We start from the raw sequence: 12,901 nt of genomic DNA, 5'->3' as shown, positions 1-12,901 counted from the left end.
TTTAATTCTTACTCACTCAAATATCCAGGGCTGAAAATAAGTGGCAACTTCACAGCTATAACCACAGGGATGAGGAACAACTTAAAGGGCAGTGCTTTCAGCTACAGGTTGTAAGCTATCTGGGCCATTTGCCTAGAATCTTGAAATGGTCTTGGATCCTTATCTACAAACTCCGTCACAGCCAGTCATGTATATCGAATAGTTTTATTAAGAGGTCATTCTGACCAAATGGTCTAGCACAGAGCCTCTCAAACTACCTGTGGTTAAGGGACTAGGTCTTTTATTTCCCTATATAACCTTCTATAACACACAGGTTTTTTTAAATACAATGTCAGGGAGATATCACAGCGAGACTCCGTCTCAAAAAAAAAAAAAAAAAAAAAGTTACACTATGACTGCAATATAAGACTCTGAATTGAATACCATTAAAAGCAAGGAACCAGTAAAAACACTATTAAGTATCATTGTAAAGCATTTATCAGTGATAAATTTCTTTTCTTTTTTTTTTTTTTTTTTGAGACAGAGTCTTGCTCTGTCGCCCAGGCTGGAGTGCCCTGGCACGATCTCCGGCTCACTGCAAGCTCCGCCTCCCGGGTTCACGCCATTCTCCTGCCTCAGCCTGGGCCTGGTGCCAGGCCGGTGCCTGTGCACCGGCCACCATGCCCGGCTAATTTTTTTGTATTTTTAGTAGAGACAGGGTTTCACCGTGTTAGCCAGGATGGTCTCGTCTCCTGACCTCGTGATCCACCTGCCTCGGCCTCCCAAAGTGCTGGGAATACAGGCGTGAGCCACCGCGCCCGGCCGATAAATTTATTTCTATTCTTGCTTAGCACAAGCCTAGACAAATAGAAAAGAGGGTGAACTAAGGCAGTACTTGTATAGTTGGAAAAAAAGATGAATTAAAGCAGTGTTTCTCAAATTTTAGTCTGTATGCAAACCATTTGGAGGAACGGTTATAACAGTTTGAGCTCCACCCCCTACAGTTTCTGAGTCAGAAGGTTTGAGGTAAGGTTGAAGAATCTGCATTTCTAACAACTGCCCAGGTGACACACTGCTGGTTTCTAGAACCATGCTCTGAGGACTACTGGATCAGAATAAAAATTATAAATGGATGTTCATGTCCTATCTGGGCAATAGGTATGTCTGATTCAGTTTTGTTTTGTTTTTGAGACAGTCCTTCTCTGTTGCCCAGGCTGGAGTGCAGTGGTATCATCTCAGCTCCCTGCAACCTCTGCCTTCTGGGTTCAAGCCATTCTCCTGCCTCAGCCTCCCAAGTAGCTGGGATTACAGGCGCCCACCACCACGCCTGGCTAATTTTTCTGTTTTTTACCAGAGATGGGGTTTCACCATGTTAGCCAGTCTGGTCTCGAGCTCCTGACCTCAAGTGATCCTCCCGCCTGGGCCTCCCAAAGTGCTGAGATTACAGGTGTGAGCCACTGCGCCCAGCCTGATCCAGTTATTTTTTAAAATGTTAATTCTAATAGTCACTACATTTACAACTATGAAGCTATGGCTTCATAGTTTTATGACGTTCATTATGAATTTTTAGAATGAGCATGAATCCAGAGAAGTACTAGAGGAAATGATAGGGAAATTACTTGGTAATTTGTTTGGAGAAGGCCGTTTTAAACCCAGAAACCAGACTGGGTGCAGTGGCTCTCTCCTGTAATCCCAACACTTTGTGAGGCCTAGGTAGGTGGACTGCTTGAGCTCAGGGGTTCAAAAACCAACCTGGGCAACACAGCGAGACCTATCTCTACCAAAAATAAAATGAGATGGGCATGGTGGTACATGCCTGTAGTCCCAGCTACTCCAGAGACTGATATGGGAAGATTGCTTGAGCCCAGGAGATAGAGGCTGCAGTGAGCTATGATCATACCACTATACTCTAGCCTGGGTGAGAGAGTAAGACCTTGTTTCAAATAAATAAACAAACAAACCAGAAACCATAGGATATTGACAGATTCTACTCCATCTAATTCATTTCACAAAAGGTTAACTTAGCAAATATACATAGAATCTTAGTCAACAGGATAAAAAAGCCCAATGGGAATAGATTAATGGATTTAATATAAACACTCACAAACAAACAAACAAACAAACAAACACTTGACCACCTGCTACTGCTCATTCTTTTGTTTTTGAGACGGAGTCTCGCACTGTTGCCCAGGCTGGAGTGCAGTGGCGCGATCTCGATCTCGGCTCACTGCAAGCTCCGCCTCCCGGGTTCACGCCATTCTCCTGCGTCAGCTTCTCAAGTAGCTGGGACTACATTTTTTTTTTGTATTTTTAGTAGAGATGGGGTTTCACCGTGTTAGCCAGGATGGTCTCGATCTCCTGACCTCGTGATCTGCCCACCTCGGCCTCCCAAAGTGCTGGATTACAGGTGTGAGCCACCGCGCCCGGCCGCTCATTCTTAAGAGAAACAAAAAAACTATACTTAGAAAGTATGTTTTACCCATCGAATAGTCAAAGATAGGGTTAAGGAGAAATTGTACTCCCATACATTGCTAACAGAAATTCAAGGCTAGGCTCACAGCTATAATCCCTGCACTTTGGAAGGCAGAAGGACTGTTTGAGGCTAGGAGTTTGAGACCAGGCTAAGCAGCAAAATGAGACCCCTTCTCTAGTTCAAAAAATTAATTTTAAAAAAAGAAGTGTAGCCTGGGCACGGTGGCTAACGCCTATAATCCCAGAACTTTGGAAAGGCAAGGTGAGTGGATCACCTGAGGTCAGGAGTTCGAGACCAGCCTGGCCAACATGGTAAAACCTCATTTCTACTAAAAATACAAAAATTAGCCAGGTGTGGTGGCGGGCGCCTGTAATCCCAACTACTTGGGAGGCTGAGGCAGGAGAATTGCTTGAACCCTGGAGGTGGAGACTGCGGTGAGCCTAGATCGCACCAGTGCACTCCAGCCTGAGCAACGGAGTTAGACTCTGAATGACTACAGTCATGCGCAACCACGCCTGGCTGATTTTTGTATTTTTAGTAGAGACGGGGTTTTGCCATGTCAGCCAGGCTGGTCTCGAACTCCTGGCTTCAAGTGATATGCCCGTGTTGGCTTCCCACAGTGTTGGGATTACCACGTGAGCCACACCACCTGGCCCTTTTTTTTTTGAGATGGAGTCTTGCTCTGAGGCTAGAGTGCAGTGGCACAATCTCGACTCACTGCAACCTCTGCCTCCCGGTTTCAAGCGATTACAGGACCCTGCTACCCATGCTCGGCTAATTTTTGTAAACTGTAGTCTCAGCTACTTGGGAGGCTGATGCACAAGAATCGCTTGCACAGGGGAGGCAGAAGTTGCAGTAAGCCAAGATCTGGCCACTACACTCCAGCTTGGGCAAGACAACAAGACTCTCTCTCCAAAAAATTAATTATATATATATATATATATATATATATGAAAAAACTCAAGACAAACCTCATAGCCTAGAAATGTTGAATTAACAAAATGTATGTAATCAATGCATAAAAGATATGTAGGTACTAGTCTTCTTCACTACCATAAAATACAAATTATAAAAAGTTAAAATTCATCAAAACACACAGACCATACACGGCACCATCCACAGTTGAGATATGTAAATGAACAAAGATGCAGTATTAAATCATAACTGCAGCCGGGCACGGTGGCTCACGCCGAGACCGGCTGATCACCTGAGGTCAGGAGTTCGAGATCACCCTGGCCAACATGGCAAAACCCCAAAAAATTAGCCAGGTGTGGTGGTACACACCTGCAGTCCCAGCTACTTGGGAGGCTGAGGCAAGAGACTTGCTTGAATCCGGGAGGGCGGAGGTTGCAGTGAGCAGAGATTGTGCCACTGCACTCCAGCCTGGGTGACAAAACTCCCTCTCAAAAAAAAAACAACAAAAAAAAACCAACTAAGAACTAGTTAGAAAGCTAAGAATGACAGGATTAATTTAGCATGTAGATATACATCACCTTAAACAATACTGCTTTAATGGCACGAGGGGACAAAAGCCAACCTAAGACTTTTTGCAGACGACAAAACTGTGGTCCAATATCACTACTGAAGCAATGAAGCTGCTATCAAAGCCAATTCTAAGCCAGGCGAGGTGATGCATGCCTGTAGTCCCAGCTACCCAGAAGGCTGAGATGGAAGGATTGCTTGAGACTAGGAGTTGGGAATCCAGCCTGGGCAACATAGTAAGATCCTCATCTCCTAAATTTAAAAAACCTGAACTGAGGTTTATTTCTCATTCCATTTTTTTTCTTTCTACTGGTTTGGAAGTTATATTTATTCTTTCAATGGTCATCCTCGAATTATAATGTACATTCTTACCTAAAGTCTAAATTCAAGTCATTTTCTTTATCCTACCCTTAAACATGAGGACCTTATAAACTTTACCTCTAAGTGTCCCCACTAACTTACTTAACTGAGACACACTGCTTTCATGTTCTCTCACACTAATTAGATGGGGAAACGAAGAATGAAAATGAAAATGAAAATACTAGCCAGGCTTGGTGGCTCACGCCGGTAATCTCAGCACTTTGAGAGGCCCACGTGGGTGGATCCCTTGAGCCTAGGCGTTGGGAGACCAGCCTGGGCAACATGGCAAAAACTCGTCTTTACAAAATAAATACTAGAATCAGCTGGGCCTTGTGGTGTGCGCCTGCAGTCCCAGCTACTCGGGAGGCTGAGGCCGGACAATCACTTGAGGCCAGGAGGTAGGGGCTGCTGTGGGCCGAGATGGCATCACTGCACTCCAGCCTGGGTGACACACACACACACCACACACACACACACACACACACACCACACACACACACACACACACACACACACACACACACACACACACGGCACGGTAGGGGCTGCAGGGGGCCGAGATGGCATCACTGCACTCCAACCTGGGTGACAGAGACCCTGCCCCCCCACCCCCACACACCCAGCACATATAATTGCTCAGTTTTAGCTTTCAATTTATGCTGTGAGGAACTAAATGGTTTGCTTTCTTCTAGCCACATATACATAAACTTTCTCTATGTATAACCTGCCAGGAAACTAAATTCACTAATGACCTAACTCTGGCTAGACACAGGGGACCTGCAAGAGGTATTTGTTGCATACTTCTACCTCAAAAAACAAAAACAAAAACACCTGGCCCTGCGCCGTGCCTCACGCCTGTAACCTCAACACTTTGGGAGGCCAAGGCGGGAGGACTGCTTGAGTCCAAGAGTCTGAGACCAACCTGGGCAACATTAAGACCTTGTATCTACAAAAAATTGGCCAGGTGTAGTGGCACACCTGTAGTCCCAAGCTACTAGGGAAGATCAGTTGTGCCCAGGAGTTCGAGGTTGCAGTGAGCTATGATCACAACACTACACTCCAGTCTGGATGTGAGATCCAGACCCTGTCTGCAAAAACAAAACAAAAACACACAGCTGTCAGTGAAATACTGACTGCTAGAGCTGTCTAGGAAACATTATAAAAAGCAGCTCTTTTTATAATAGCTATAGCACGACTCCCAAGCCCAATCTATACTGCTTATATCGAATCAATGGGGAAAGAGGCAGGTAATGGGAGTTTGAAATTAAAATTGTATTTCCCATGAGTTCCCAAATGATTCTCAGGGTGACTTGAGAACCACTGCTCTACAAGAACGCAGAGAGAAAAGGTGGTAAGCAGAGATATACGTAAATCTCTAACTATAAACAAACAAAGACATAATCATGACAGAGTGTAAGCCTATAGAATATCAATTTAAAAAACTTCACAGCAACCATTCCTTTTACAGGGAAGGCAACTAACCTCTAAAGCGCACAAGATTAGAAAAAAAAATAGAACCAGATGCCTAAAAAAATATGGCAAGATTGGGAAATCAGACCTACTGTATGGGAAACAGCACTTGTTTCCTTGAACTCGTGTAGTGTTTCCCTCCACTGTTCAAAAAACAGATTACGCCTGAGTGGCACTGTGCCGCTTTCAAAACAATCCTATCTTGTTTCCCTCCAGTCCTTCTCCACTTCGTGCATACTACTGCCGATTCACCTAGCAACCAAACAGTGCTGGTGAGAGCTCCAGACAGCGCTTCCTGAAGACGCTTTACGTCCGGTAATGTTCCCCCCAAACAGACACCACCTCCAAAGTCTAAAGAACGACAATCCTCCCCACCACAGGCAGGGGCTCACGGAGTCGCGGGGAGCGATAACTATCTCCCAGCACAAGACGTGAGCGAGGTGTCGGGGGGAACTAGCCTCGCCGGCCCCACGGAGATAGTCCAAAGCTCCTGCTGGAGCCGCAGCGGCCCCAAACAATGGAGTTTTCCCGCCTCCTCAAGGCCCCGCCCCCTGCCCCAGGGCCGGCGAGGGAAGCGAACGCACGCGCGCAAAACCCCGCCCTCAGCAAGGCCCCGCCCACCCCGACCCCTCAGGTCCAGCCTCCTTCCTCGTGCAAGGTTTTTTTTCCCTTTTGGCGCCAAATCTTCGTTGGTTATATTCCCGGGTTATCCAGGGGTTCTACCAGAGGCACACGCTGGGGACAGAAGGGGCGTGAAGGCCAACCCGCGCGCCAGGGCCCCGCCTCCCGGCCAACCGCCCCGGGCTGGGGGAGGAAGGAGAGGGGCAGGCGAAGGATACAGCCGCCGCTGCCCCCGGCAAGATGGCGGCCGCGAAAAGCGGGGCAGGGGGCGCCAGCCGACCGCCGTTACCGCTGCTGCGCGAGGCTCTCAGCAAAAGAAGGACTGCTCCAGTGACCAGGCCTTCCCGAACAGCGACAGCTGCTCTTGGGAAGGCAAGTACTCCCGCCCACCGGTCTGCCCCTTCTCCGGAGCCCCCGTCCATTAGCCCTCCCCGCGGACTGGCCAGTGCCTTAAGCTTTCCACAGTCCCGCTTACTTGTCGGCAGAAACCAGCTCCGCGGCGACGGCGGCAGTGGCTGTGGACTCCATGGCCATCGTTCCCCTGAGGTGGCGAACCAGCGAACGGAATAGAGCCTGCGAGAAAAACAGGCAATTTGGGACGCCAGAGACTCACTCAGGGACAGAAAATGGCAGATTAGAGACCCCGCGCGGCCGGGGCCCTTTTATATACGAGGACCCTTCGCCCCGCCCATCCACTTCCGGATCCTCCCCCTCGGGTTTAAAGGGCCAGGACTCACCACCCATACCCTCCGTCCCCCGCCGGCCTACCACTATCTAGACACCTCCTGCCCTCTCCATATGGCTCCGCGGGATTGTTTCCCTCCCTAGCCCGACTTCTCCAATAAACAGCAACTTCCTGCTTCTCCAGCAAGTCGCATAAGAAGAACTGGAATCTTGACACTACAACTCCTGACAGGACGCCCCTGCGGCATCCAGAGACAGGGAAGCCAGTGCTGCTCTGCATGTTCAGGGCGAGTAGCTGAGAGTCTCCTTCCGGCCTGGATACTGAGGAAGGTGACTTAGACTTTCTCTCCGTCCTCTGAGTCGTAACGGACGGACACGCAAGGGCCGAGGACGGGTACAAGCAGCAGCGACTAGAACTGATCTGGGTGAGATCTAGGCCTCAGCAACAACTGACGCAAAAAGATTTTGTTCTAGGATTGGCTACAGCTGAAACTACCGCGCTTGATTCAAAGCTCGGGGCTTGCAGCGGGAGGCAGCTGGCTCCTCCCTCTGAACCCGCCCCCTTTGGCTGGCCCAATCCGCTGATCCCATCCTCTTAGGCCCTGCCCAGACTCCAAATCTACCAGAATTAATGCTCCCAGCGCTGTTTGTCCACTCCTGCCTATGATTTGCTGTGTGACTACTACTCGTGGGGGTACCGTGATTAGACGCTTTAAAGCTATTAGCTATCTTGTTTAATATTAACAATGCTACTAGTGAGATCAGTGTTAGTCTGTTTCTTAGAAAAATAAACCAAGGGGCCGGACGCGGTGGCTCACGCCTGTAATCCCAGCACTTTGGGAGGCCTAGGCTGGTGGATCACGAGGTCAGGAGTTCAAGACCAGCCTGGCCAAGATGGTGAGACCCCCCCGTCTCTACTAAAAAATACAAAAATTAGCCGGGCGTGGTGGCGGGCGCCTGTAATCCCAGCTACTCGGGAGGCTGAGGTAGGAGAATACTAGAACCCGGAAGGCAGAGGTTGCAGTGAGCCGAGAGCTCGCCACTGCACTCCAGCCTGGGCAACAGAGCGAAACTCCGTCTCAAAAATAAATAAATAAATAGGCCAAGGTTCCAACCTGGCCAACATGGTGAAACCCCGTCTCTACTAAAAATACGAAAATTAGCCAGGTGTGGTGGCAGGCTCCTGTAATCCCAGCTACTCGGGAGGCTAAGGCAGGAGAATCACTTGAACCCGGGAGGCAAAGGTTGCAGTGAGCCGAGATCTCGCCACTGCACTGCAGCCTGGGCAACAGAGCGAGACTCCGTCTCAAAAAAAAAAAAAAGGGGAAGCTGTGACTTGTTCAGAAAGTTGCAAGACAAATCAGTTATGGAAAGCAGTGTGCCTCATTTCCTGCAAATGGCTGAGTGAAAAATAACTGGCAGGCTAAAAAGCTGCAATTCCTCACACCTGGAGTATCATCCATTCCTTTTCACCATGGCCCAGTCTACGCTGATCGGAGTAGGGGTTTTTATTTCCCTTTAGGTTCCAGCATATTGGGAAAGATTCCTGGAGAGGATTCTTATTCCAATCTGTCAAGGCTCGAAGAGGTTGAAATCTTTGGGGCTAGAGAGCTGGACGTGAAAATGCCAATTCCTATGGCAAACATACATGGGCTCTTCCATTATTAGCTAGGTGACGTGAGCCAGGTCACGTAACCCGGATTGTAATCGAGTAGCTGGGATTAAGGTTAAGTGTAAAATGAAGACATATTAGTAGCCACCGCTTAAGGACATTGTGAGAATTACAGGTAATTAGCACTGTGTAGAATTCACGCTAAGCACTCATTGAATGGCTACCACAGTCTGATGATGTGGTAAATGGAGGGTGTTGGGAGGGGAGATCTCTCCAAAGTCCTTGCAGCCAGGGCTAGGGCCTGAGAAAACCTCTGCAATTACTGGTGTGACCGATTCATCCATTAAATTAATATTCACTGAGCAACTTTGAGGTACAAGACTTTGTACTAGGTTCTGGGGACAAAAGACATGGACTCTACCTTGAGGAACTCAGAGAAATATATTTTAAAATATATTTTAGGCTGGGCGTGGTAGCAGGTGCCTGTTATCCCAGCACTTTGGGAGGCTGAGGCAGGCGGATCACTTGAAGTCAGGAGTTCGAGACCAGCTTAGCGAACATAGTGAAACACCATCTCTACTAAAAATACAAAAATTAGCCGGGAGTGGTGGCAGGCTCCTGTAATCCCAGCTACTTGGGAGGCTGAGGCAAGAGACCCACTTGAACCCAGGAGTTGGAGGTTGCAGTGAGCTGAGATTGCACTACTACACTCCAGCCTGGGCGATGGTGAGTCTCCATCTCAAAAAAAAATAAATAGCTGGATGCAGGCCGGGCGCGGTGGCTCACTCCTGTAATCCCAGCACTTTGGGAGGCCGAGGCGGGCAGATCACCTGAGGTCAGGAGTTTGAGACCAGCCTGGATCCCCTGGTGAAACCCCATCTCTACTAAAAATACAAAAATTAGGCAGGCGTGGTGGCAGGCGCCTGAAATCTCAGCTACTTCGGGAGGCTGAGGCAGGAGAATCGCTTGAACCTGGGAGGCAGTTTGCAGTGAGCCGACATCGTGCAACTGCACTCCAGCCTGGCAACAGAGCGAGACTTCATCTCAAAAAATAAATAAATAAAATAAAATGAATAGCTGGGCACAGTGGCTCACGCCTGTAATCCCAACACTTTGGGAGGCCAAGGCGGGTGCATCACACGGTCAGGAGATCAAGACCATCCTAGCCAACATGGTAAAAACCCATCTCTACTAAAAATTCAAAAATTAGCCGGACATGGTGGTGGGGGCCTGTAGTCCCAGCTACTCAGGAGGCTGAGGCAGGAGAATCACTTAAACCCAGGAGGTGGAGGTTGCAGTGAGCTGAGATCGCACCACTGTACTCCAGCCTGGGTGACAGAGTGAGACTCTGTCTCAAAAATAAATAAATAATAAATAAATAAAAATAAGGCCAGGCAGGGTGGCTCACGCCTGTAATCCCAGCACTTTGAGAGGCCGAGGCAGGCAGATCACCTGAGGTCAGGAGTTTGAGACCAGCCTGGCCAACATGGTGAAACCCCGTCTCTACTAAAAGTACAAAAATTAGCCGGGCATGGTGGTGGGCGCCTATAATCCTAGCTACTCAGGAGGCTAAGGCAGGAGAATCGCTTGAACCTAGGAGGCGGAGGTTGCAGTGAGTCGAGATTGCACCACTGCACTCCAGCCTGGGCAACAGAGTGAGATTCCATCTCAAAAAAACAAAAAATAAAAATTTTAAAAAATAAGTATATTTTAAATCCATGTACTTTTTAAATTTTTTTTGAGACAGAGTCTCACTCTGTCGCCCAGGCTGGAGTGTGCTGTCATGATCTCAGCTCACTGCAATCTCCACCTCCTGGGTTCAAGTGATTATCCTGCCTCAGCCTCCTGAGTAGCTAGCATTACAGGCGAGCACCACCGTGCACAGCTAATTTTTGTAGTTTTCGTAGAGATGGGGTTTCACCACGTTGGCCAGGCTGGTCTTGAACTCCCGACCTCAGCTGATCCACCCACCTTGGCCTCCCAAAGTGCTAGGATTACAGGCATAAGCCACCATGCCCGGCCTGTTTTCCTCATGTAACCCCAGGAATTAAAAGTCCTCAAAGGCCAATGGTCCAAATAGGAGATTGGCAAATGAAGGATCTTGTGGGGGCTGGGTTTTCTTCTGCCTGTCCGTGGAGTTATATACGTGTTGTGTGTGACGTCTATAGAAATAGCTCTAATTAATTGGCCTAAAGGAAGATAAGCACTTGGATCAAATATTTATTAAAGGGAAGATAGGCTGGGTGTGGTGGCTCACGCCTGTAATCCCAGCACTTTGGGAAGCCAAGGCGGGCGGATCACCTGAAGTCAGGAGTTCGAGACCAGCCTGACCAACATGGACATACCCCATCTCTACTAAAAATACAAAATTAGCCAGGCTTGGTGGCCCATGCCTGTAATCCCAGCTACTTGGGAAGCTGAGGCAGGAGACTCAGTTGAACCTGGGAGGTGGAGGTTGCGGTGAGCTGAGATTGTGCCATTGCACTCAAGCCTGGATAACAAGAGCGAAACTCCATCTCAAAAAAAATAAAAGGAAAGATAAAACCTGTGATACTTTTCAGTTCACCTGACTTTAATCTTTGAGAAATGAAAACAGCCTTAAAGATTATTGGTAAAAAGCCAATGTCATCAAAATATAAATAAGTGGACTGGGCCGAGTGCAGTGGCTCACGCCTGTAATCCCAGCACTTTGGGAGGCTGAGGTGAGCGGATTGCCTGAGCTCAGGAGTTCAAGACCAGCCTGGGCATCAGGGTGAAACCCCATCTCTACTAAAATACAAAAAATTAGCTGGGCATGGTGGCGTGCTCCTGTAGTCCCAGCTACTTAGGAGGCTGAGGCAGGAGAATTGCTTGAATCCAGGAGGCAGAGGTTGCAGTGAGTCGAGATCGTGCCACTGCACTGCATCCTGGGCAACAAAGCAAAACTTTGTCTTAAAAAAAAAAAAAATAGTTGGACTAAATTATGCAGGTCAGATACCAGGTTGGCTAAATGTTTTATGGTTATAAACTGCTTTTTGGTCTCTACTAAAAATACAAAAATTAGCTTGGCATTGTGGCAGGCACCTGTAGTCCCAGCTACTCGGGACTCTGAGACACAAGAATTGCTTGAACCGTGAGACAGAGGTTGCAGTGAGCTGGAATCATGCCACTGCACTCTAGCCTGGGTGATAGAGTGAGACTCCATCTCCATCTCAAAAAAAAAAAAATTAATCTTGCAAAGAAATTATCTGTGTGAACATATTGACTAAATTCAAAAGTGTATTGTATGATTTTTCTGTAAATTGAACATTGAAATAAAAGCACAATAAGGTACTCTTAAGGCACTAATCTGCTCTTTGGCAAAATTTGTAAAGGCTTATAAAAGGTTTTTTTTTTTTCTTTTTATGTTTCTGAGTCATTATTTTGGCAAAATAAATAATTTATTGTAATCTGGAATTCTATTTTAAGTGTTTCAAACCTCTAACATATTTAACAGGCTTTCCAAAATAAAACTTCAGTTTCAAAATTGTCTTTCCTGACACCTGGCTTTTCGAATACTTCAGAAGGGCCCCTAGAGTGTCCAGAAAAGAGAGCTAAACAGGATTATTTGAAACATTTAGGTACTTGATACTGTGTTCAATCTTCTTTAGGTTACATTTTGGTGAATAATACATGTTCCAAAATTGTATGGAATTTCTAAAATTCTAATGTCTGAGTATATGCTATCAATCATAATTAAGGTTGTTAAGTTTTTGTAAACCACGGAGATAATCAAACTTCTTTGTCAATTGTGCTTCTAACTGTAACTACACTGAACATTTTGTTATTCACAGACAATTGTTGTTTCGTTTTAATCCTTTTCAAAACAAGGTTTATAATAAGCTATAGAACTTTGACAGGTGCTCTCAAATACAGGTTTCTGATAACTTTGGAGATTGTGACATTGGAATAAAGGAAAAACGTACAGGACTCATGAAGAGCTAAAATGTTCACAAATATCAAGTAAAACAAGAGTTAACTGAATGTACTCAAGAAACTGAAGCAAACTTTTTAACTTTTGCTTGGAATATTGCTGATCCTTATTTTGTTTTTCAGAGTCAAGGAAACTTACTTTGAGCTATTTATGTCCTTTAATAAATTGAGTAAGGTATCCTCTTTTTTTTTTTTTTTTTGAGATGGAGTCTCGCTCTGTCTCCCAGGCTGGAGTGCAGTGGCACAATCTCAGCTCACTGCAAGCTCCG

General features: G+C 46.9%; 1 protein-coding gene across 8 annotated transcripts in view, besides 8 other annotated features; it reads right to left on the bottom strand.

The window, feature by feature from the left end:
• The window catches only part of NASP (nuclear autoantigenic sperm protein), a 34,853-nt gene extending 27,828 nt beyond the window's left edge, over nucleotides 1-7,025 (bottom strand). For all 8 annotated transcript variants that reach the window (XM_005270888.4, XM_011541509.3, XM_005270889.4 and 5 more), the window contains exon 1: nucleotides 6,861-7,025. Coding sequence is in view for 5 of the 8 variants with exons in the window: in NM_002482.4 (NP_002473.2) it covers nucleotides 6,861-6,919 (59 nt within the window). In the remaining 3 variants the exon portion in view is untranslated. The remainder of the gene's footprint in view (nucleotides 1-6,860) is intronic.
• Nucleotides 42-242: a silencer, noted in NCBI's record as "peak199 fragment used in MPRA reporter construct". NCBI's record gives its function as "represses an SCP1 promoter by STARR-seq MPRAs in K562 erythroleukemia cells {active_cell/tissue: K562}" and the evidence as "EXISTENCE:reporter gene assay evidence [ECO:0000049][PMID:32103011]".
• Nucleotides 1,737-2,237: an enhancer, noted in NCBI's record as "H3K4me1 hESC enhancer chr1:46054501-46055001 (GRCh37/hg19 assembly coordinates)". NCBI's record gives its function as "activates a minimal SCP1, AML or CMV promoter by ChIP-STARR-seq in primed H9 embryonic stem cells {active_cell/tissue: H9 hESC(primed)}" and the evidence as "EXISTENCE:reporter gene assay evidence [ECO:0000049][PMID:30033119]".
• Nucleotides 2,238-2,738: an enhancer, noted in NCBI's record as "H3K4me1 hESC enhancer chr1:46054000-46054500 (GRCh37/hg19 assembly coordinates)". NCBI's record gives its function as "activates a minimal SCP1, AML or CMV promoter by ChIP-STARR-seq in primed H9 embryonic stem cells {active_cell/tissue: H9 hESC(primed)}" and the evidence as "EXISTENCE:reporter gene assay evidence [ECO:0000049][PMID:30033119]".
• Nucleotides 6,330-6,629: a silencer, noted in NCBI's record as "silent region_833". NCBI's record gives its function as "represses an Ori minimal core promoter by ATAC-STARR-seq in GM12878 lymphoblastoid cells {active_cell/tissue: GM12878}" and the evidence as "EXISTENCE:reporter gene assay evidence [ECO:0000049][PMID:35858748]".
• Nucleotides 7,130-7,439: an enhancer, noted in NCBI's record as "active region_982". NCBI's record gives its function as "activates an Ori minimal core promoter by ATAC-STARR-seq in GM12878 lymphoblastoid cells {active_cell/tissue: GM12878}" and the evidence as "EXISTENCE:reporter gene assay evidence [ECO:0000049][PMID:35858748]".
• Nucleotides 7,540-7,599: a silencer, noted in NCBI's record as "silent region_832". NCBI's record gives its function as "represses an Ori minimal core promoter by ATAC-STARR-seq in GM12878 lymphoblastoid cells {active_cell/tissue: GM12878}" and the evidence as "EXISTENCE:reporter gene assay evidence [ECO:0000049][PMID:35858748]".
• Nucleotides 7,890-7,949: an enhancer, noted in NCBI's record as "active region_981". NCBI's record gives its function as "activates an Ori minimal core promoter by ATAC-STARR-seq in GM12878 lymphoblastoid cells {active_cell/tissue: GM12878}" and the evidence as "EXISTENCE:reporter gene assay evidence [ECO:0000049][PMID:35858748]".
• Nucleotides 8,360-8,409: an enhancer, noted in NCBI's record as "active region_980". NCBI's record gives its function as "activates an Ori minimal core promoter by ATAC-STARR-seq in GM12878 lymphoblastoid cells {active_cell/tissue: GM12878}" and the evidence as "EXISTENCE:reporter gene assay evidence [ECO:0000049][PMID:35858748]".

Source organism: Homo sapiens, chromosome 1 (assembly GCF_000001405.40).
Source record: "Homo sapiens chromosome 1, GRCh38.p14 Primary Assembly".
Taxonomy (NCBI): domain Eukaryota; kingdom Metazoa; phylum Chordata; class Mammalia; order Primates; family Hominidae; genus Homo; species Homo sapiens.
Note: the sequence above shows the minus strand (reverse complement) of the source record. Positions and strands in the feature narration are given on the sequence as shown.